This window comes from Homo sapiens, chromosome 18 (genome assembly GCF_000001405.40).
Source record: "Homo sapiens chromosome 18, GRCh38.p14 Primary Assembly".
In the NCBI taxonomy this organism is placed as follows: Eukaryota; Metazoa; Chordata; class Mammalia; order Primates; family Hominidae; genus Homo; species Homo sapiens.
In genome coordinates, this window is record NC_000018.10 from 63699618 (window position 1) to 63724015 (window position 24398).

The 24398-nt window shown below is 38.5% G+C and overlaps 1 protein-coding gene across 4 annotated transcripts; it reads left to right on the forward strand.

Annotated features, from left to right (window-relative positions):
* The first annotated feature begins 2686 nt into the window (after positions 1-2686).
* SERPINB11 (serpin family B member 11) lies at positions 2687-24276 on the forward strand. 4 transcript variants are annotated; one of them, NM_080475.5, is made up of 9 exons: positions 2687-2760; positions 3234-3389; positions 10562-10744; positions 11718-11777; positions 12948-13076; positions 16418-16535; positions 20396-20538; positions 21214-21369; positions 23378-24276. In NM_080475.5, exons 3-9 carry the CDS (start codon positions 10577-10579, stop codon positions 23780-23782), a joined length of 1179 nt encoding a protein of 392 aa, NP_536723.2. In that variant the 5' UTR covers positions 2687-2760; positions 3234-3389; positions 10562-10576; the 3' UTR covers positions 23783-24276. The 4 variants fall into 4 exon arrangements, with proteins under 4 accessions (NP_536723.2, NP_001357404.1, NP_001278208.1 ...); NM_001370475.1 differs by lacking the exon at positions 2687-2760 and having other exon boundaries at positions 3343-3389; NM_001291279.2 differs by lacking the exons at positions 2687-2760; positions 16418-16535 and having other exon boundaries at positions 3343-3389.
* The last annotated feature ends 122 nt before the right edge of the window (positions 24277-24398 follow it).

Sequence of the window (24398 nt, forward strand, 5' to 3'; positions counted from 1 at the left end):
CAGGGGAAACCATCCCCATGATCCAATCACCTCCCACCTGGTCTCTTCCTCAACACATGGGGATTATGGGGATTACAATTCGAGAGGAGATTTTGGTGGGGACACAGACCCAAACCATATCACTAACGAAACCACAGAGGTGGTCTTGGATCTTCAGCTCTTGTGATCTCCTTCCTCTGAGAGGGCAGCGGAAGGAGTCACATTGTCAATACACATTGTCCATTGCTTTTCCCTGTCAGAGTAGGGTAAAGTCATGCTTAACAGGGTTCTTCAACTTGGCTTCCTCTAACATCACCTATGTCACGACTTTACTGCCAAACTCTGGGAAAGGGTGTGTTCTTCTCTAGCGTGTTCTATGATGCACTGCAGCCTAGATTTTTCCCTCAGTACTCTACTAAAGCAACTTCTGCTAAGATTACTTATTCCCCCAGATTGCCTCCAAGTTCTTCCTTGAAATCCTCCTCCTCCTCTAACTTGTGACAAGGGCCATCAGTTACAGGTGATGTAAGTGTCCTACCCAAGACAAGGCGGGTGGCTGGGGGCAGTATTTAGTCCATCCTCTGCTCTCCAGCCCATGATCACTGTCCTAGGTTATGAAGTCCCTAATAAATAACTCCCCTCACCTCACCTGAGTCCTGAAAAAATGAATATAAAGTCAAATAAATCAGACAGATAGAGAATAAAAATATACATTACATAATGATAGGTTGGAGGCTGGGGATTAGGCATGAGCCAATAATAGGTTTTCTAATTCTTTGGTGTACAATCTAGTCACAGGGATTACTGGAGTTTCAAAATTGGGCTTAGCCCTGGGAAAACTTAGGGCAGAAGGAATAGATGAGAATCCATACTTCCTTTGGACGCTTGGCAACCTGTGAAAACAAAACAAAACAAAACAAAACAAAACAAAACAAAACAAAACTTGAGGGCATTTCCTCTCCAAACCCACCAACATAGGTTAGATGTGTTAGACGCCTTTTGTTAGTCACTTCATATTCTGCTGCCCTACCTCTTAATCTAGCTGCTGCTGAGGCCACCAGTTCTGCATAGGCTTTAAATAACTTTGTGCATTGCAAACTGGCAGCACTTCCTCTCACACCTTGCTTCCAGTTCCAGGGCTTTGTGATGATGCTTTGGTGTGAATGTGCATAATTGACACTCAAGTGTGATCCGAGTTAACACCCATGGGACCTTCCTTGACCTATGGGGATACAAGCCTGTAGATACATGCTTCCCCTCTTCTTCCTCTCGGTGGACAGCTCTGATGCACATTTTGTAAGATTCCTCCGAAAGTCCATGGATTCAGATACCAGTGGCCAATTTTGTAAGAATTGTATTAACTTTCTTTCCATCTCTGTTCCACCCCTCTTTCTCTTCTGCTTTTATTCCCTGACACCACTTCCTAAATAAACTACATGCATGTGAGCCTTTATCTAGGGCTCTGCTTTCAGGGAATCCAGGCTAAGACATTGGGGAGCAGGAGTAAATTTGAGGGTAAAGAGAGGCAAAGAGTGTTATGCTAATGGATGTCCTTCCAACTGGAAGGAAAAATCAGAAATAAGTACTTCCTCTGCGACAGGGAAAATAACAGGAGTACAATCTAGATCAAAGGCATAAAAATACCTTCTTTGATGACCCCAATGCTTAGACAGAAAAAAAAAAAGCTAAGAAATTCAACCCCCTTTTTATGGAATCTAAAGAGAGATGAAAACAAAGTCGAAAGGTAGAAGATCAGCCCTAATGGTAGATATGAGGTTTTTAAGCTCTGAAAGCCCCCAGCTGGAATTGATTCATGTCAGAAAACATGTGCTCTGAGCAGAAAAAGACTGGACAGATTTGGGATCCCTTTTAGTTCTGTGTGATTGGTTGTGTACAGTTATTTTTATGATAACCTTGTGGGCAAAATGGGTATTAGGACTATAATTTTAGAACCATGTTTTCTGGTTCTCTTGTCTTGTAGAACGGTTTAGTTTCAACTAAGAGAAGAAATATTGTGCACTGAAAATGAAGAGAAAATCACTGGCCATAAAGGAATTTCTTGTCTTGAGTGCGGTACAGTCTGCCATCATTGGTTGGCAGGGGTAACAACCTGGGGAGGCTGGACTGTGGATTGCATGGTCAAGACTGGTCTTTGAGAAGCTGGGCTTTTCTCGTAATACTGATTCTGCCTACTGCACACCCCAAACATGATCTGTCTCTAACTCTCATTCCTACCTCTAATCTGTAATTTTTCTTCCTGGCTCCTGAATCATTACTCAGCCTCTGAATTCACTTTAGGTAGGGCTGGCTTCTTGCTCCCACCAAGCTTTTAAACTGAAACCACAGAATAACTCTTGCTTGAGTTATTACTAACTCGATAACTCTTGTGTTTTTTTGTGGGACAGGATTTACCTGCTAGTAGTTTGCTGAAACTCCACATAAAAACATATGCTGCATGCAAGAGAGCCCAGAAGATCTTGGGATGAGTGTTCCTCAGGCCAGGAAGCATCTGCCACAGCTGGGATCTTTCCTACTGAGTAGCTTTGCACCATGTGCACTGACACTGGAGATCCCTGGAATTTTGCATAGGGCACTGCTAACTTGTTGGGTTGATGGCAATCTCTTTGACAGACAGCGTATTTTTCTTGAATAGAGGCCAGGCTTGTTAATGTTTTCCCTTAGTAAAACAGAAGGAGGTTAAGAACTGGGTGCAGGGCCGGGCATGGTCGTTCACGCCTGTAATCCCAGCACTTTAGGAGGCTGAGGCAGGTGGATCACGAGGTCAGGAGTTTGAGACCAGCCTGACCAACATGATGAAACCCTGTCTCCACTAAAAATACAAAAATTAGCTGGGTGTGGTGGTGCACACCTATAATCCCAGCTACTCAGGAGGCTGAGGCAGGAGAACTGCTTAAACCCAGGAGGCAGAGGTTGCAGTGAGCTGAGATCACACCACTGCACTCCAGCCTGTGAGACTCCATCTCAAAATAAATAAATAGAAAAAGAACTGAGCACTTCTCTGAAAAGCACTGGTCATCTTGGGAGTCTCTGGGGATCTCATTACAAATTTTATTTTTATTTTTTAATTTTTAAAATAGAGATCAGGGTCTCACTATGTTGCCCAGGCTGGCCTCAAACTCCTAGCCTCAAGTAACCCTCCCACCTCAGCCTTCCAAAGTGCTGGGATTACAGGAATGAGCCACCATGCTGGGCTCTGGGGATTTAAAGAAGCTCTTGATGGACTTCATTTTCAGGGCTGTACTTTCCAACCAGCAGGTGAAGAGCTGAATCACTAAGGGCACAAATGAAAAGGGAGGGGCAAAATATGAAGGCTTTATATTTCCTTTTGAGGGACGCAGCTCCAGTCTAACTTGCCACTCTGTGAACTTCACTACTGGAAAGCAACAAAGGTAAGAGAAATGTTTCTGTACGTTATTATCTCAGCTGTGCTTGTTGTCAAAGGGGACAATAAATAAGAGTAAACTGTGGCATTTGGACAGGTTGCATAATGAACCAAATGAAGGGGCAACTTATTATTTAATTGAGTATGACTTTTGCTGACCCCTTGATAAATACATTAGCATACTTGGATGCCATTGATAGTGTGCATTTAAAAATCTTTGAGGCAGGCTGACTTGATTTCAGATCTTTGTTTAGTAAAATGGAACTCCGTTGATATTTTCTACTTACTAATCTTCATTCAAAACACAAGCTAGTCATGCATGCTGTGGCCTCTGTGTATTGACACACTTCTTAGCTCCTTAGAAGATCTTAACTTACTATGCTAGCCTTATTAATTGCTATGTGTTGGAGACAATTTCTTTCTTTTTCTGCCTCTCAGTTTCCTCTTATAGCTTTAAAATTAGTCTCCTAAGTAATATGTGTATTCTGTACATGCAGGTAAAATATAATGGTTTATGTTTATGTGAACATTCTGAAATTCCTACTATTTTTAGGAATGAGCATATGTGAAATTCACAAAGTTGTAGGGCAGAGAGTAAGAGTAAAAGAATAGCTCTGATTTAGGGAAAGAGAGGTAGGTGCTAGATAAGTGGTCATGAGAGAAGAGTCTTGTGAAAGGGGAAGAATGTACACAGGGTATGGTACATACTGTAAGATACTGGTGTCTTAGCCACCCTTGGAGATGTATTTCCCCCAAAAGGACAGAACCAGACCCTCCGTCTGTTGCAGTCCTTCAGTGTCAGTATCCCTTCAGATAAGATAAGATGTGTTCCCTTCCACACGTATCCCAAATAGAGTTGTCTCTTCTGGAAATCCCTCTTCTCAACCTCAAAGGGCTACAGTGACAGATATCCTTCTTTTCTTCGTTTCTGTCATAACAACTTCCAGATGACACAACTCATTTGCTTGAAGATTTTTTTTTTCCAAGACACAGCCAACATTCCCTTACCACGTGAGTGGGCTGTTTTGGGGGTCCATATGCATCTTTGATAAAATTCTGGGTGACTTGGGACTTCTGCCTTCCATAAGTTCTGCTTCCCTGAAATGGGCTAAGCAACATTAATTAGACTAGCTGTAAAATATCCAGAATATTGGTTTCCCTAACAAGTATTGATTCCTGGGTGAATGTGGAAGACACTGACAATTTCACAGAAGAATTTTCTCTGCCCTTACAGAATGTTCAATGTAGTGAGGAATACCAACATATTAAATGAACCAAAATCTATAAATCCATCCATACACACCTCTGCACATGAAAAGACAATCACCCAGATGTAGAGGGAATTGTCAATAAAACTAGTTAAATATATGGTTAACATAGAAACTCCATTGTGAAAGATCTCTGCAAACAGAAAGGTAGAATTTTGGAAAATGAATGAGGAAAGCCCGTGCACTTTGGCACTACATTAATACTATAGTTAAAACTCTGTCTTGCCAAGAAACAAAGTTCATTTGATATTTAGCATGTCTATTGGCAAGACAGAGTTTTAATATTATTGATTAGAATTTGAATTATTCTAATTCAAACTATCATTAATACAAAGTTCATTTGAATTAACTATAATTATGTATTGCCAATGATTTTTGAGAAAAACCTGAACCTGAAGTATTCTTTCTTGGTACTATGAGTTCAATGCTTGAAGAGCTGTAAGATCCAACTGTGAAGTGAGGCGAACATCATCACTCACCCTGCAAGACTCAAGATTCTGAATAATACACATATAGTACTGGCACATACATGAACCCTGTAAGTTGGCCATTTCCTTTACAAAGAAATTCTCACACAGCTGTGTAAGGGAGTAGGTGTGCTGATATTCATCATGGCACTGTTTGTGGTGGCATGAGGAAGGAAACCATTTGGGCATCTGCCATCGGCAAATGAATGGGCAAATTAATATGGTGGAAGCAGAAGAATGCAACAGTTAGAAGGTACGGACTATATTCCCAGAATAACATGGATGAATCTTAAAAATATAGTACTAGGTGAAAAGTATGTGAAAACTTGTATTTTTTTGTTTTTCTTTGTTTTGTTTTGAGACAGGGTCTTACTCTGTCTCCCAGCCTGGAGTACAGTGGTGCAGTCACTGCTCACAGCAGCCTTGACCTCCTGGGCTGAAGCAATCCTCCCACCTTAGCCTCCTGAGTAGCTGAGACTGCAAGTGTGTGCCACTGTGACTGGCTATGTTTTTAATTTTTTTGTAGAGACGGGGTTTTCGCCACGTTGCCCAGGCTGGCTTCAAACTCCTGGGCTCAAGGGATCCACCTGCCTCCGCCTCCCAAAGCTGATGTTAAGTATTATCTAACATAACTTCATTTATGAAAATTTAAAAATGCGTAAGATAAAGAAATCAATGTTTTACAGGAGCACATATACATAAAAGAATATGCTTTAAACAAATTATAAGTGGTGTCTATGGTGGTGGAGAAGAAAGGAAATGAACTGGGTCAAAGGCCATAAGTAAAGAAGAGAATGGCCTTCTAATCCAGTCATGGCTTATGCCAAGAACCAGAGCATGTGATGACCTCAACCTTGTGTACTTGTGGTTATAAAAGAAGAAACAATCAAATAAACAGACTAATAAAAGTGTCTGGCACACAATAAGTGGCCTATCAGTGTATTCCAAACTCTTTTCTTAGGTGCTCTAGTAACTGCAGGGCTACAATAGTTATGATATGTGAATAGGCGATTTTATAACAACAACAGGACATAAATTTAAGATAAATAAATTCACGTTACTTTCCAGAATGCAACTCCACTAGCTTACTTAATTCACTAAAATGCAGAACATAGTGTGAAGAGCAACTGACTTGGATATACTTCACGATTGGAAGTGCTTTCATTATTAAAGTAACTAAACAAAGGGCTGTCAAAGACACTGTTATTACCACACATAATACAGAGAGCTGTATTAAAATCACCTTAAAGGAAAACATCCTGTCAAAGGTACAGAATTGTATTTTAGCAAAATAAGATGAGTAAAACCCTTCTGTTATATTTTTTAAAAACTGTCAAGAGCAAAGAAAACTGTGGTCCAGGCTTGGTGCTGTATAACTACTGGGTCCTATTACACTGTGCTGGGCTTTCTGAGAACTGGAATGCACAGCATCTACTCCTTAATGATTATTTTAGGGCAACTGGTTTTGATTACAGGATTTGTGAATTTTCCTATATAAATGTCATGGGTCATTATTTTGAAAGTCCACAAGTGACATATATTCCCTTTTGGTCTGTCTCTGCCTGATAAAAGATTAAAAGCATGACATAAATGCCTAAATTGATGACAAACAAGGACATATCCCAGTGAACACATCTCCAGAAAGCTCAGCTCAGATACGTACTGACTGGAAATAAGATACATTAGTAACTAGGATAAATATGTATTGGCAGGGGTATGTATTGGCCTTTGTCACAGTGTCCTATAGCCTATATGCTTAGACTTGGATTCTAAAAGAGGGCAAAGCTGTAATCTAGAAGATAGGAGGTAAAAGAATCAAATATTTCTGTATTCCAGGTGGACTAAACAAGGGAATAATGTAACTATGCTACAGAAAGGTGAATGTGGAGTAAGTGGGCTAACTGGCCCTAGTGAACAAGGGTGTATAGAAAAACCCTTGAAGTGAGTTAGAATTCTTTTAGCTGCAAGTAACAGAAGACTCAACTAAAATGGCTTAAACAATAAGCAAAAATTATTATTTCTCATGAAAAGAAATCTCAAGCTAGGGCAGATCCAGGATTGGGTAATCAATTCACTCAATGGTGTGTTATCGAGGACGCAAGTTCTGCCTGTCCTTCTTCTCTGAAATCCTGGGTTATCCTCTTAGACTAGCTACCTCACGGACACAAAATAGCAGCTGCAGTAGTAGACACATGCAGATAACCCAAGTGTTAGAGGAAGAAGAGGGCTGGTTTCCTCTTGTGGATCTCTTCTTATTAGAAGCCTTTTCTAGAAGCCTTCCAGCAACCTCTCCTGTCTTTCTCGTAAGAATTATGACACTTTCTGACTCCTACACTAGAAACTTGGGACATAGAATTTCCTCAATTGGCTTAGACTAATCCAGGCTTGCTCTTGGGGCCTGAGAAGGGTGAAGCCTCCTCTGAAGCACATGACTCCATGAAATCTGCATTAAAGCAAGTTCTCTTAGCCCAAAACAAGGGAGTGAAAGGGAAGGGCTGAATGGTGGGCAACCAACATTTTTTAACATGCTGTCTGGGGAGAGAGAAGAAGAGAAGGAGAGAGATTTAGAAATTGATTATCAGAAAGATGATATGAACTTCTGACTAGGTGACATGAAGACCCAACTCCATCATGAGCTATGTGGGGTGTGATCTCTGATTTCTCATCAAGGGGCATGCAAGGCTTCTAAGGCCACAGTCCTGCCCATCTTCAATCCCACTGCCCACCACTTTTGGACTCTTATTTCATGCATTTGTAATATAAAATTTATCTTTCAGGTGTTTGAGTCTCTGCTCATGCTATTCCTTCTGATAGGAGTGCTCTTCTTACATGTATATACCTAGGTGATGCTTATTTCATTCTTCTAGAAGCAGCAGGGATATTATCTCCTCCAGGAAGGCTAACTATAATTCTCAGTTTGGTTCTGTGTCTCTCCTCTCTACTTGATTATGTGCATACCAGCATATCACACAGTACTTATTGGATTGAAATTCTCTTCTTCATTTCTTCCTTCTGCAAACATGTACTGGGTCACTACTCTATGGATAGAGCTTGTCTAGATGCTGGAATAAAACATAAAAACAAAACAAAGACCTTGGTGTAATGTACTATACAGGGAAGGGAATCAGATAATAAATACATATGTAGTAAGCCAGGTGGTGGTATGTGCTATGGTAATGGAATGGAGGGATGTGGGCTGAGATTTCAAACAGAATTAATGGTCAGGGAGAGCCTTAGTAATGAGATGCTATCGGAACAGAGATGATTAAACTGCTGGAATGAGCCATTCAAATATCTCCAGGAAGAACTTCATGGAAGAGGAATAGAAAGTGCAAATGCCCTGAGGTTGAATGTACTTGTTATGTTGAAGGTATGCAAGGAGGTTACATGGCTAAATTGGAGTGAGCTTGGGGGAGAGTGGTAGGAGATTAGGTCTGACAGGTGGCCAGGGCCAGATCACAGAGGGTCTTGCTGGTCACAGTAAGGACTTTGTCTTCTTCTCTGAGTAAAAGGGAAGACAGTGGAGTTTTTGAGCAGAGGAGTACCTAACCAACTGATATTTAAAAAATACTAGTCTATCAAAGATATTATGGAGGAGGATAAAGACTGGAGTAGAAAGAAGATAGGAGATTATTTCAGTAATTCAGGAGCACCGTTCATGCTGTTAAAACTGGGGAGCATGAGAAATGTGCAGATGGGGAATATTTCCAAAGATGGGGAAAACAGGATTTTTTCATTGATTGACTAAGAGTGAGAATAAGAATAAGAACGAGAAAGTACTTAAGGATGATCACAAGGTTTTTAGCTTGAGAAAGAATAGAAGAATGGAATTGCCATTTACAGAGGTAAAGAAGGCTGTGAGGGACACAGGCTGGAGAGAGGGGTTAGAAAATCAAGCATTTGCTTTTGGACATGTTAAGTTTGAGATATATATTAGACATCCAAGTGGGGATGTTGAGTAAGCAGTTGGATATGTGGGTTTGGAATTCAAGGTCAGCATAAATGTGGGAGCTAATAGCATATTGGTGACATTGGAGGAATGAGGTTGGATGAGATCACCCAGGGTATGACTGTTCATAGAGAAGAGGCTCAAGATCTGAATTCTGTTTTATTGTGATGTCTAGAGGTTGAGAATTGAGAACGATTCTGCAGAAGAGACTGAGAAGGAGCAGTCAAGGAGGCAGGCCGTGAACTGAGAGAGAATGATGACTCAGAAGTTAAAGGAAGGAAGTGTTTGATGGCAATGAGGCTCCTGAAGAATGACGTCTCCCTGAGATCAGAAACTATTCTTGATTGTTTTTATATCCATAGCCCTCTACAGTTAGCGGTGCTCAAACAATGTTTGTGGAACTGAATAGAATGAACTCTTCTTTCCTGACATATTCTTGTCCTAAGATAACACATATTCCAGCATCATCTTTTCTTCTCTTGGATTTTCCTTTTCCATTTCTATTTTCATAAACATGATGGCTGTGGCCTCCAGGCTGAGATCTCTGACCACTTTCTTATGGCAGGTCCTACTTGTTAGTATTGTCTTATTTCATGGAGGGATACAGGGAATGAGGTCCCACTGAGGAGATAAAAATGTGCTGGAAGTGCGGGCATGGTGGCTCACGCCTGTAATCCCAGCACTTTGGGAGGCCGAGGTGGGTGGATCACGAGGTCAGGAGGTCGAGACCATCCTGGCTAACACGGTGAAACCCCGTCTCTACCAAAAAATACAAAAGTTAGCCGGGCGTGGTGGCAGGCGCCTGTAGTCCCAGCTACTCGGGAGGCTGAGGCAGGAGAATGGCATGAACCCAGGAGGCGGAGCTTGCAGTGAGCTGAGATCGCACCACTGCACTCCAGTCTGGGCGACAGAGCGAGATTCTGTCTCAAAAATAAATAAAATAAAATAAAATAAAATAAAATAAAAAGTAAAATAAAAATAAAAAATGTGCTGGAAATTTTGCGAGTGCTGTCAACTTGTTTGTGCAAAAATGACTGAGATGGAGATGTTCTCCTGTGACACTGCAAAAGCGGGTAGTCTAGTGGGAAAATATCTCGACTGGCTGATCGTGTGTAGCTCAAGATTTTTTTCTGCACAAATTCCAGGATGAGGAATGTCTTAAAGCATGGAAATTCAGAATACAAAGATTCAATTCCTTTTAATCTTTTGCTCCAGAACTATTATAGATTATTTAAAAATATACACAAATGATAGTAAGATAGATTTTAACCATTGGCTGAAGGAATAGTAAATCTTCTGTTCATTGGAATGTAAAACTAATGTGAATTCCCCTGTCTAGCATTTACTCATTTCTCAGAAATTGTGATAAGGGTATGTAGTTTTTCATGAAGCAGTGTGCCCTGATACTTAAACTCATGAAATACAATAACTGAACTCCAGATACTATCTGTAACTTCAAGTGATGTTCTGAGAATTTTTTCCCTTCTGTTCTCAGGCAGTCGGCATAAAAATGGGTTCTCTCAGCACAGCTAACGTTGAATTTTGCCTTGATGTGTTCAAAGAGCTGAACAGTAACAACATAGGAGATAACATCTTCTTTTCTTCGCTGAGTCTGCTTTATGCTCTAAGCATGGTCCTCCTTGGTGCCAGGGGAGAGACTGAAGAGCAATTGGAGAAGGTATGGAATTCCTCAGAGGTTTGTTCAGAACCCAGAAGTCTTTCATGCTCCCGCTCTGGGTCAGCAAAATTAATTCTATCTTTATACCAATAAAATTGCCATCTTGAGAGAGAAAAAACACATTGAATAAATCATATTTCTTAAAAATTGATAATGGTTTGATTAATGGAGTATGCTGTAATGCAAACAATGTAATACAAGCAACGTGTGGTCTCTTTTTTACTATCAGTGGTATCACAAATAAATCTCTGCAGTTTACTTTTAGAGTCCCTTCATTCAGTGATTTAAATGTGATAAAGGTACTATTATTGTCCTCTAGAAGGTTAAATTTATAATAAACATAATGCTATTTTAGACATTACCAAGTTAAAAAATTTTCATGATTATGTTTGAACTTCATAACAGTTAGGAATTGTTATCCACACTTTATGGATTGAAAACTGAGACTCAGAAAGGAAAGGTGACTTTTCAGGTTATATAGGCTAACGTTAGAGATTTTCCCATTACGTATATTTTAATTGCAGTGGAAAGTCTAGAAGAATATCACTTAACAACTCTTAGGATACTTGCAAATCTTATTATTGTTCGTGCTGGGAAACCATGTAAGGTCTTACACAGCCCCAGATGGGTACTGTCTTAGTTAACAGCCTAAGCACAGTAGGGACAGAAGTGTCCAGGGGATAAGAGATTAGTCCCTGGAACCTGACAATGGTCTGAGGCAAGCTGCTTGATCTCTCTTAAACTTATAGTTTCCCTAACATAAAATGAGGGTAATAGTATCTACTCATAAAGTTGTTGGGAAGGTTAAATAAGATATGTAAAGACTTAGTTCAGGACTTGGAACACATTATTAAATGTTAGCTATCACTACTGATCTTGATCTAAAATAGAAAAATAGATACTTACAACTGTCAACCTTTATAGACTGTACATTGCTTCTGATGCCAAAAGATCCCTTTTTTTTCTTTTCTAGGTGCTTCATTTTAGTCATACTGTAGACTCATTAAAACCAGGGTTCAAGGACTCACCTAAGGTATGATAATATTACTGAGTTGTCAAATGCTCTTTAACCTAAGAGAAGGATGAAATAATAGTCTGGGTGTTGAGTAGAAAAGCTCCTTCTTTTGCCCATGAGGGAACCAGCTATGTGTCCCCCTTTAACCTTCCTGATGATAACTACAGCCTGTAGAGTTTAATATAATAATGATAATAATAACAATAGTAAAGTTTCTTAGATTTTATTACCTGCTTTATTGCCATCTTTACTCAAACTTTTTTGTTCCTTTATGGACGGTGCCCTGTGTTGAGTTTGCCAGTTTTGTCTATGTGGTGTTAGACTTTTCTGTCTAGAGTGGGGACTGAGAAAGGACCCTGATGCTTGGCATATAATTATGTACTGGGAAAACATGGCCTAATATTGCCCAATCCACATGCTCTGGGACTATGGTCTCTAGTTTTTTCCAGTAGAAGGATTCATTTTGACATCAAAATTATATAGAACTCCTACATGAAAATAGTTCTGTTTGATTACGATTGGTTGAGAAAATACATAAATGCATATAGACTCACAGAATACCAGCTTCACGGAACCCAACTTACTACTAAAAGTTCAAAGTCCATAGTTTAGGAACCATTTGCTTTAGGGAATGCTTTAGGGAATATAGGAATATTGCCTATAATGTCCATAAATTCTTAGCCATCTTTCAAATGCAACAAAGCTGCAGCTTAGCAGAATTGCTACCACTGAGAAGCAAATTAGTGTGTGAAGTCAGTTCAGTGAAGGGCTGAGGTATTTGATTAAATGACCACATGAAAAATGGAGATGTAGAAAAAAGTGTGAAAGAAAAGAGAAACGATTCTGTAAGTACAAAGGCAGCAATAACACTGGAATTATTGCCCTGAATACCCCACTAGGATCTCTTTATTTATGAAAACTGCCTTTGAATTAAATCATTAGGACCAACAAGTACACATGTATTATGCAGTAACTTACAATTCTGCACACAGACTGCAACTAAAGTTACAGAGTGGTGAAATTAATGTGCTAGCAAAAATCCAAGGAAGAAAATGCTTTAAACTAATTTCCTTGTATTCACAGCCCTTTTATTCAGAGGCAAACACCTTGCTCTCTAGATAGTTATCATTCTCCAATGGCAAAAATCAAGCAATTTAATACATCATTCTTTGTTTACTGATGCTTCAGTGCAGCCAAGCTGGAAGAATTCATTCCGAGTTTGGTGTCGAATTCTCTCAAATCAACCAGCCAGACTCTAACTGTACCCTCAGCATTGCCAACAGGCTCTACGGGACAAAGACGATGGCATTTCATCAGGTAAGTCCATTTGGAAGAGTGATCAACAACTTTCTTGGCGTCCTCTGAATTTCATACCCCAAAATTGATGAAGAGTGAGAAGAGTCACATGACATTTATCATTAAGAGATTGACTTTGTGCTAACTTACAGTTTCAGTGAAATGGATTTATTGAAACTCTCATGTAAAGTTCCCAAATATCACATAAAAATGACTTCTTCAAGATCCCTAATGCTGTCTAAGAACCAAGGTCAGGGATGAAGCACAAAACAAAGTAGGTAAGAATCATCCCTGTGGACCAGAAGAAAAACAAAATCAATTTTTCATATCTTTTTCAGAGGTTCTTAATAGTGGAGTATCAAGAAGTAGTTGAAATTACATTGGACTGTGAGCCAAGAGACAGGAGTTCTGTTTCCATTTAGAATATATAACTTTGGGCAAGTCACTTCTGTCTTTAAAATGAGAGGATTAGGCTTAGTTCTTTGTAGCTCCAATATTCTAACACCATTTATGCCCTTTCCCAACACCATGGTCCTATGTAGTTTTATTGAGTATTTACTCTGTGCCAGTCATTCTGCTTAGCTCATTACAAGCATTATCTCCTATAATCCTCACACTGTGCTAAGATATTGGTATAAAATTTCCATTAATTCTACAGACTGTGAAGCAGATTCTGAAAAGTCAGGCTGATAAGGGTCACAGACATATTTAAATGGCAAAACCTGGATTTAACCCCTATGCAAATCTGTCTTCCTGGTTTTAATTGCTACATCATCTTGTGATTGAGGTGAAATGCAAGCTTTTGTTTGACCAGGGTTATTTAAATGCTATCTGGGTGAAGCTGGATGAAAACATGAGTTTCTAATGTTCTTCCCTGGCCTGGTAGATCAGGTTATGTCTTGGATAACCTATGTGATGAGCTTCTGATAGTCAGAATATTTGCAACTTGGGGTAGGTATTATAGACATTCAGAGAGTATTTTCTTTTACTGCCCTGGAAGCATATAGGGAACGATGTATGGAGAGTGTCTAGAGTGGCAGGGATTAACAATCACGGTCCTTTGAGCTGGTATGCCCGCTCTCTTGACTTTGCCTTCTCAAAACAGTGACCCAGATATAACAGTAGACAAATGTGGATTTGGGATGATCATGATGACATCTGTTCCAGAAGTGAGAAGGTCCTCATTAGCATCATGAAGATTGTCTTGAACTATGTCATGAGAGGGACCTTGTTATTTCAGGATTCTGGCTGGGAAAAAGTCCATCTCCTGGGCTATGGAGAGTTACTTAAGGTTGTTTCAACCACAATTGGATCCAGCTCAGGACAAGATTCATTCTGAGGCCCAGATTTTGCTCATAGTATATTGGGGGAACCCGCCCTGATAATTCAATGTAGGTTCTTTTCTGTTTTCCCTATGTGTCGGCTGGTCTGAGAAATAAAGGGAAAGAGTACAACAGAGAGAAATTTTAAAGCTGGGTGCCCGGGAGAGACATCACATGTCGGCAGGTTCCATGAAGCCCCCCAAGCCGCAAAACCAGCAATTTTTTATTAGTGATTTTCAAAGGGGAGGGAGTGTACGAATAGGGTGTGGGTCACAGAGATCACATGCTTCACAAGGCAATAAAATATCACAAGGCAAATGGGGGCAGAGCATCGGGGCAAAATTAAAATTGCTAATGAAGTTTCGGGCATGCATTGTCATTGATAATATCTTATCAGGAGGCAGGGTTTGAGAGCAGACAACCGGTCTGACTAAAATTTACTAGTCAGGAATTTCCTCGTCCTGATAGGCCTGGGAGTGCTACGGGAGACCGGGGCTTATTTCATCCCTTATCTACAACTGTATAAGACAGGCATTCCCAGAGCAGCCATTTCAGAGACCTCCCCCTAGGAACGCATTCTCTTTCTCAGGGCTGTTCCTTGCTGAGAAAAAGAATTCAACGATATTTCTCCTATTTGTTTTTGAAAAGAGAAATATGGCTCTGTTCTGCCTGGCTCTCAGGCAGCCAGATCTAATGGTTATCTCCCTAGTTCCCTGAACATCGCTGTTATCCTGTTCTTTTTTCAAGTTGCCCAGATTTCATATTGTTTAAACACACATGCTTTACGAACAATTTGTGCAGTTAACGCAATCATCACAGGGTCCTGAGGTGATATACATCCTCAGCTTACGAAGATGATGGGATTAAGAGATTAAAGAAGACAGGCATAGAAAATCACAAGAGTATTGATTAGGGAAGTGATAAATGTCCATGAAATCTTCACAATTTATGTTCAGAGATTGCAATAAAGACAGGTGTAAGAAATTATAAAAGTATTAATTTGAGGAACTAATAAATGCCCATGAATTCTTCACAATTTATGTTCTTCTGTCACGGCTTCAGCAGGTCAGTCCCTCCGTTCGGGGTCCCTGACTTCCCCCAACATTAGTTAAGCTTTGTTTTTCTTCTACGCTAGGCACATCTTCCATATTTCAAAGTCTTGTATTGTTCTATTCAGTTCATGTTGGGGCATTGAGTCCCACTGGGCTGTGGAGGTATGCTCCTTAGGTCTCAGGAATTGCATCATGGTAAACTCATTTGGGTCCATGTAGATATCACTGTTGTCTTGGCAGAAAGACAACGGAAAGTCTCCAGTTCTATAGAAATCTAGGGCCATGGGTGGTCATAAATTGTTGCTCCAGAATGCTACACAGGAGGGCCTCCGGAGTAAAAATTTTTGGTTAAAAGAAAGGGTAAGTTCTTTATACTGAGTTTGCACACCACTTTCACTTAGATAATATGTTATAGGTGAACGAAATAATAAATTCTTAAGATATTTTTGTTCACACTTTACATAAATTTGACAGAAATGCCAACTATCTACATCACAGAATGTTTTTATTATTAATTATATTTATGGCAGCTTGTGAGGAGATTGATATATATCATGGGAGCAACCTTCTGTTAGACCTCAGAAAAGCAAGTCACTTAACCACTCTGCTTCTCAGTTTTCCTGTCTATAATCTGAGAGCAGTAACTTCCATGTCTACTTTGAAGAGGAAAGAGTAGGAATAGAGTCAGAAGGTGCTCATGTATTGCAATTTGTCATTTTGCTTTGAACACTTTAAAACTAAGAAAGCCAATCATATGACAGAAGTAACAACAAAACATTTCTGAACATTCCTTTTGGAAGGGTTTCAGATTTTGTTAAATTTATTTGTTTTATTAAAAATAAGTACATATGGATCCTGTTTCCTCTCAGACTTGTTTATGGGAACTGCTTTTTTCTCTGCATTAGAATTTTAGAATACATTGAGCTGTAGATTTTTGTTTTCCTTACACTGCTTTTGAATTGTTGTTCAATTATCATGTCTTTCATAGCAATATTTAAGCTGTTCTGAGAAATGGTATCAAGCCAGGTTGCAAACTGTGGATTTTGAACAGTCTACAGAAGAAACGAGGAAAACGATTAATGCTTGGGTTGAAAATAAAACTAATGGTAAGGATAAGTCAATATGTGTCTCTAAACTCTGTGTTGTGTTGATAAGCAACCTGAGTCCACTTGCTAAAGAGGAAGCTGGCTGAAGTCTGCACCTGACATAGGCAGATCAGCAAGAAAGGAATGGGGCCATATTTTGGAATACCCCTTACAATCAGTTGTTCTAGAAGCTATACAAAGTGACTCTGCGAATGAACACCATTTCTGTTTCATAAATGTGTGGCACATTCTGCAATTAAAATTAATTAAATTTAAATTTACTTTTCACAATTAAAAACCCATATATATTGCTAAACATTTCTTAAATGTTTCTTAGAAACATTTGGTTAAGGAAAAATTTAAGGATATACAAAGGTAAAGAGAATATATAATGAACCCTATTTATCCATCACTCAATTGCAACATTTCTCACTAATGGCTGGCTTTATTCATGTAATCTCTCACCCTTTCTCCAACACTTCTTTAAGATTATATTGCAGCAAATTCTAGATATTCTATCATTTTCCTTCACATATTTCACTTTGTTTTTCTAAAAATATGGACAATTTTAATACAACCGCTACAATTCATTACTTCTGAAAAATTAAAAATAATCCTTTAATGTTAAATATTCAGTGTGTTTTCATTTTTCCCCAGTTGGCTCTTTTTTTTTTGTTTGAATCAGGAACCAAATAACATTGACATATCACAATTAGTTAATACATCCCTTAAATCTTGATTTTAAAAATAAACTTTATGATTTAAATATACATACATATAGAAAAGTAAATTATTGTATGTGTGCTATTTGATAAATTATCACAAAGTGAATATACTCATGACTCAGGTCAGCAAAATAAGACATTAGTTGTTAGAAAGAGGCACTGCAAGGTCCCCCTTAAATCCTCTTCTGGAAATAAGCCCCTTTTTTCCCAAATGTTAAGGCTTCTCTGACTTCTGTTACCACTTATTAGTTCTGCCTGTTTTTAAATCTCATGTAATTGGAATCATAAGTTATGTGGGTTTTTTTTAGGTCAATAATTTGTGAGAGTCATCCATGTAGTTACACATTGCATGGTTTGTTCATTTTTATTAATATACATTTCATTCTCAGAATATTCCAAATATACTTATCCATTTTACTGTTAGTAAATACTTAGGACATTTTTAGTTTGGATCTCTTATAAATAGTGCTGCTGTGAATATTTTTGATACATATCCCTGGTACACATATGTATGCACTTTTATTGGGTGTATACCTTGGAATGGAATTGCTAGTCATAAGGCATATATACATTCAATTGTAGTAGATGCCAAGCAATTTTCTTAAGTGGTTGTGTCAATTTATTTGCCCAAACAAGAAATGAGAATTTCATTTGTCCCTCCTCCTTGCCAACACTTGGTAGTGTAAGGCTTGTTAACTTTAGCCACTGTAGTTATTTTAATTTTAATTTGCATTTCCTTCATGAATTATATGGTTGAACAATTTTTCATATGCTGCATATCCTCCTTTGTGAAGTTTCTGTTTAAATCTTTTGCCCACCTGTAAGAATGGTTTGTCTGTTTTTTTTTCTGATAAATTTTTAGGAGTTCTTTGCACATACTGGATACCTACGTTGCAAGTAACTTCTACTATTTTGCATCTTATCTTTCCCATCTCTTAGTGGTGTCTTAGATGAATGGAAGTTTCTAATTTCAAAGGAATAAAATTTATGATCTTTTCCTTTATAGTTAGTGTCTTTGCACACATTTTTTGGACGATTTTAAAGAAATCTTGTCGTGAAAGTATTTTCTAGTTTGTGAAAATATTTTCGTATGTTATTTTCTAGAAGTTTTATTGTTTTATTAAAGTCAGGATTCATTTTAAAATTAGTTTCATTCCATGTGGATGTCTAATTGCTATGGCACTACTTATTGAACAAAGAATCCTTTCATTATTGCACTGCAATGTAAATTTTATCATAAATTAGATGACCATATGTGTGTGAATCTGCTCCTAGGTTTTCCATTCTCTTTCATTCGTCAATTTGTTTATTCTCATGATGATGCCACAATTATAGTAGCTTTATAATAACTCTTGGAAGCTGGAAGTGTAATCCCTCCAATGTTGATCTCTTCTAGGGTTGCCTTGCCAAATCTTGATCCTTTGTATTTCCATATACGTTTTAAAATTAGCTTGTTAACTTCCATAGAATATATCAGTTGAAATGTTAATAGGATTTATATAGAATCTATAGATTTGGAGAGAAAATACATCTTTATTCAAATTCTAATCCATGACCATGAAATTTACCTCTATACAGGTCTTCCTTAATTTTTTCTTTTGATAACATTTTGTATTTTCCTATGTTGAAGTTTTGTACATTTTTTGATAAACTGATCCTAGGTGGTATTTGAGGTGTTTGGTGAATTTTAGCTGGTATCTATTATTTTGGTTTATTTGTTGTTGATGTATAAGTATATACTTTACTTTTGTATATTAACATTGCTGAATTCACTTAATAATTCTAGTTTAGCTTTATATTATTTTAGATTTCTTTTAGCATAAGGACAATGCTTTCTAATATATTTTTCTCCCATTATATCACTTAACAGTGATGAGCTCTCAATAGTATCTTTTTGATTGAGGAACTGACAGATGTCAAGTTTAGTAATAGGTGACCAGATTAAAATATATATCCATTATATTATTTGTATTAAGTCAGAAAATGCTTTGAAAGGTGTATTTTTTTTTCATATCTGTTAATTTACTTAGCACAGTGGTGTAAAAATATGCCTCTCTCTTGTGCTAACTCTAATCCACTGGTAGTGACTGCTTGGGAAATCTGTATTGAGAGTCTGAGGCTTAAACTTAGGTTACTTGAAAAAGCCCACAATTGAGCCAGTAGACACTAACTCTGTGACAGTAGAGATTTTTGTCTGTTTAGTTTTGTGTTATAGTCTGAATTTAGTGCTACAGTGCCTAGAACAGTGCCCAGCATTTAGAAAATGCCTAAAATTTTTTGGCACGAATGAAAAGATGATTAGTGTTGTCTGTCATGGGTGTGCATTAGGGATCCACATGTTATATATTTATGTAGAATATTAATGTTATTTCATCTTTTGTTTATATCTTTATTTACTGTTTCATCCAAAAATATACATTGTATGCTTAAGGTTAGGTATTGCTATCACATGCTAGGATTGTGTTAGGCCTAGAATTTCAATGAAAATTAAAACCTTCATGAAGCTTAAAGCTGATGTTCAGATATTCCTATGTTTCATATTGTATAACAGATTCCATTCCAAAAAGGTTTTATAAATTGCAATGTACCAAAATGCACCAAGAGGGCTGGATGTTTAATTTTGATCAGTTTTATTTACAAAGCAATTCCTGGCATAATTTTATGAATCTTGATTTTCAGATATGTGTTTACTTCAAGTGCTTTAGTATATATATTTGTAATACACTAATTCTAGTGCATTGAAAGAATAAATATTTTAAAATAATATATTTGTGTGTAGTGAACTGCTGGTAAGTATAAAGTCTTGTAAATATTAAAAGTAAGCCACAAGAAATGATTACATAATATCTAAATAAGCAGTGATGTATAAGAAATTACTCGATGTAACTAGGCATAAGACAAATTGATCCATCACGAATATGCTGGCTACTTCCTGGGTGCCGTCTTATGATTAAATAATAAAGCATTAAATATTCCCTGAAATAAACTTCATTTGACAAAGAAGGCTCCATGGCCAGGAGATGAAAGGAGTTCTTCTGGTATCTCAAATTTACAATTAGTCTTAAAAAAGAAATGGCTCTAAATTTCTCATGACTCTTCACCTCTCTATTATCAGGAGTTCAAATCCAAATATAATTATCTTATTTTTTATACAAGGAAAAGTCGCAAATCTCTTTGGAAAGAGCACAATTGACCCTTCATCTGTAATGGTCCTGGTGAATGCCATATATTTCAAAGGACAATGGCAAAATAAATTTCAAGTAAGAGAGACAGTTAAAAGTCCTTTTCAGCTAAGTGAGGTAAGTATTTTATTTTCAGACTCATGACAAATGTTGGAGGATACAATAATCATTTAAGGACAATTTAGAAAGATGTAGTGATTTAGTGAAAATATTGGTCTAGGTTTCTGTTGGTTCTTTTTATTGTATTTTCTACAGATTTTCATTTTTCCTTTATTAAGTGACAATAACTTTTATCACAGAGCACCTAACTGGAGACTTGGGATACTAAGATTCTCTGGCAGAGGAGAAAACCCATTCTTTTCTTAATGCTCTCTTGGCTTATTCTTTCCATATATACTGTGGTTATGTTCTCCAGCAGCACACTAAGGCTATCTGTGTTATTTTTTTTTCTAGAGAGTTTCTTGAGGAAAGATTAAAAAGAAAATGATTTAATGATATATCCTTTTTCTTCCCACTAAAATCATGTTAGCTAAAAATCCTGACTTTGTTTTTGGTAGACCAAGCTATCTCTATATATTATTAGAACAATTCAGTCTCTAACCATGACTTATTTTAAATTAAAAAAATGGATAACCTTTGCAAAGGGAAGTAATAAGGAATCTACTTTGTAGTTTCTATTTTACCCATGCCTTTAGAGTGTTCATGCAGATATCCGTGTTATGCAAGGTAATCAGTACACACACATGTGCACTCACATATGTAAGTATACTATAATCTTTTTCTTCTTAACAGGGTAAAAATGTAACTGTGGAAATGATGTATCAAATTGGAACATTTAAACTGGCCTTTGTAAAGGAGCCGCAGATGCAAGTTCTTGAGCTGCCCTACGTTAACAACAAATTAAGCATGATTATTCTGCTTCCAGTAGGCATAGCTAATCTGAAACAGGTAAAATTATAAGAATGCTATAATGCAGTTAAAGCATGTGTGCATGTTAACACACACACACACAGACACACTGTGTATCTCATGACATTAGCGTAGTCATTGATTCACAATCTAAGCCTTAGTAGGATTGTCCCGGGGGTGTGAAAGTAGCAGGGAGACACATGGCCTCTGCCTTTCAGGACAGTGTGTTTATGGAGAACAAGCTATTCTTACATGAGAAAGGCACATGGAAGCAGAAGTGATATTTTGTACAAATACACACAAGTACTGGTTGGTTGATAGTCGGGGGACATCTTTCTATAGTAATGAAGTTATAATGCTATTTGGGCTCCTAGTGTGCAGAAATCTGATTAAGCCATTTTACTCTGGGGGCAGTATTTCTGAGCCAATTGTACTTTCACAGGCTAACCATTTTTAACATCTCAGTTTTGTGGAGAAATGGGCACCACACACATTAAGAAGTGGTCATGGCCGTGAAAGGAGTTTGGATCCAACCCCCTTTCCCCAGCTGCAGCCAAAGCTGCCCAGCATAGAGCAGGCTGTGCTTCTAACAGCTGGACGTCTGGAAGCCTGCAGAAGCTGACACACATATGGGTGATATAGCCTAACAGTTAGGGGCTTCTAAGCCAGGGAGTGCTGGCTTGAGATGAAAACACTGTGGCACAGGTGAGCAAGGTGTGTGTGTGTGTTGGGTGGTAGGGAAGGAACACTGTGGCACAGGTGAGCAAAGTGTGTGTGTGTCGGGTGGTAGGGAAGGCTTCTTGAAAGAGCAGGGTCAGGACGTACGCATTTGGATTAAGAAGTGAGACGGGTGCCAACTGAAAAGGAGCTGTAGTCACAGAAGTGCAGCGGTGGCCATAACAGGTATGCTTACGGTTGTGGTTAAGTCAGAGGGAATCAGGTCCCTAAGGGCCTGTGGTTGACTGGAGTGAAAGACATTTGGAGGCATAATGCAGTTTGGGAGCAGTTTAGATTCTGCAGAAAGTTTTCTGGAAGTAGACTATGGGATTAGAATGAATGGGTCAGAAAGGAATTCCTAGTACAGCAATTTCAGTCCGAGCCTTGCTGGATGAATAGGAGAATCACAGGGGCCCTGCTAAACTGAGCAGAGCAAAGAGCAGTGCAAATGCCTTAGAAGCAAGGCAGCATGAGCTGTGGCATGAAGTCATAGTCTCTTGGATGTGGGCAGAAAATGACAAAAGGAAAAGATACTTTGGAAGAAAAACCACCTTTGCTTTTTGGTGGCTTTTATATTGTCATGGTAGGCAGTAGTTGTCAAAACTGTTTTAAATTCTCAGATTAAAAAGATGGGATGTGACACAGCATGGTGGTTTGCAGCTGTGGACAGGGCTGGCTGGAGAGTTCAATGCCCGAGGGAGGCGTTTGAAAGGTTTACAAACAAATGATGAAACTGGATGGAGAATGAGAAGTCAGTGTGCTGAGGCTGCTTTGGGAAAGCTGAGCATTGATGTGGGAGCTGACATGCTGGGCAGAGGCACAGGTGGCCCAGAGTTCAGCTTCAGGAGCAGCTACCAGAAACAGTGACAGAGAAGGGCACGAGAGGATGAAAGCTATCAGAGTGCATGGGGATCCTGGCATCAGGGATGCCAAACAAGAATCACGCTCATAAAGGAGGGTATCATGAAATGTTTCAGATATGAGAACCCAGAAGAAATGGTTGAGTCCATCCACGAAACAGGACCATGACAACTTCACAGGCGAGAGTGGGAGAAGTGCAGTGAAGCATGTATGCTGAGGGAATTGAGGGAAAAGACTGTAGGATACCTACTTGAGAAGCTTAATTATGAAATTTAGATGAGAAACAGACAACAGAAAAGGGAAAATGTGGCTAATGGTATGATTTTGTTCCCAGGTAAGTAGACTGTATTAAAGGTAGAAAAAGTGATGAAGTTGAACCACTCACACTGAGAATTATAAAAACATATGATATTTAATGTAGAGGTCGTGTGTTTGACTCATGTGGGCTTGTCTGTGTTTTGTCTCTTAGATAGAAAAGCAGCTGAATTCGGGGACGTTTCATGAGTGGACAAGCTCTTCTAACATGATGGAAAGAGAAGTTGAAGTACACCTCCCCCGATTCAAACTTGAAACTAAGTATGAGCTAAATTCCCTGTTAAAATCTCTAGGGGTGACAGATCTCTTCAACCAGGTCAAAGCTGATCTTTCTGGAATGTCACCAACCAAGGGCCTATATTTATCAAAAGCCATCCACAAGTCATACCTGGATGTCAGCGAAGAGGGCACGGAGGCAGCAGCAGCCACTGGGGACAGCATCGCTGTAAAAAGCCTACCAATGAGAGCTCAGTTCAAGGCGAACCACCCCTTCCTTTTCTTTATAAGGCACACTCATACCAACACGATCCTATTCTGTGGCAAGCTTGCCTCTCCCTAATCAGATGGGGTTGAGCAAGGCTCAGAGTTGCAGATGAGGTGCAGAGACAATCCTGTGACTTTCCCACGGCCAAAAAGCTGTTCACACCTCACACACCTCTGTGCCTCAGTTTGCTCATCTGCAAAATAGGTCTAGGATTTCTTCCAACCATTTCATGAGTTGTGAAGCTAAGGCTTTGTTAATCATGGAAAAAGGTAGATTTATGCAGAAAGCCTTTCTGGCTTTCTTATCTGTGGTGTCTCATTTGAGTGCTGTCCAGTGACATGATCAAGTCAATGAGTAAAATTTTAAGGGATTAGATTTTCTTGACTTGTATGTATCTGTGAGATCTTGAATAAGTGACCTGACATCTCTGCTTAAAGAAAACCAGCTGAAGGGCTTCAACTTTGCTTGGATTTTTAAATATTTTCCTTGCATATGTAAATAGAATGTGGTGAGTTTTAGTTCAAAATTCTCTGTTGAGAATAATAAATGCATGAAATACCTTAAAGCTCTGTGAAGACTTGTAACATGGCAGCAATCAAATGGCTTATAAAAGGATACTTTGAATGTGGATAAATTGAATTCAGTCAATATTTCAGTGGAATTTTTGGCTAATTGCTTGAATTGAATTGAA

Coding starts and splice junctions, on each gene's coding strand:
- SERPINB11 (NM_080475.5), top strand. CDS start 10,577: ATGGGTTCTCTCAGCACAGCTAACGTTGAATTTTGCCTTGATGTGTTC. Junction 13,077..16,417: donor AGACGATGGCATTTCATCAG/GTAAGTCCATTT, acceptor TGTCTTTCATAG/CAATATTTAAGCTGTTCTGA. Junction 21,370..23,377: donor GCATAGCTAATCTGAAACAG/GTAAAATTATAA, acceptor TTTGTCTCTTAG/ATAGAAAAGCAGCTGAATTC.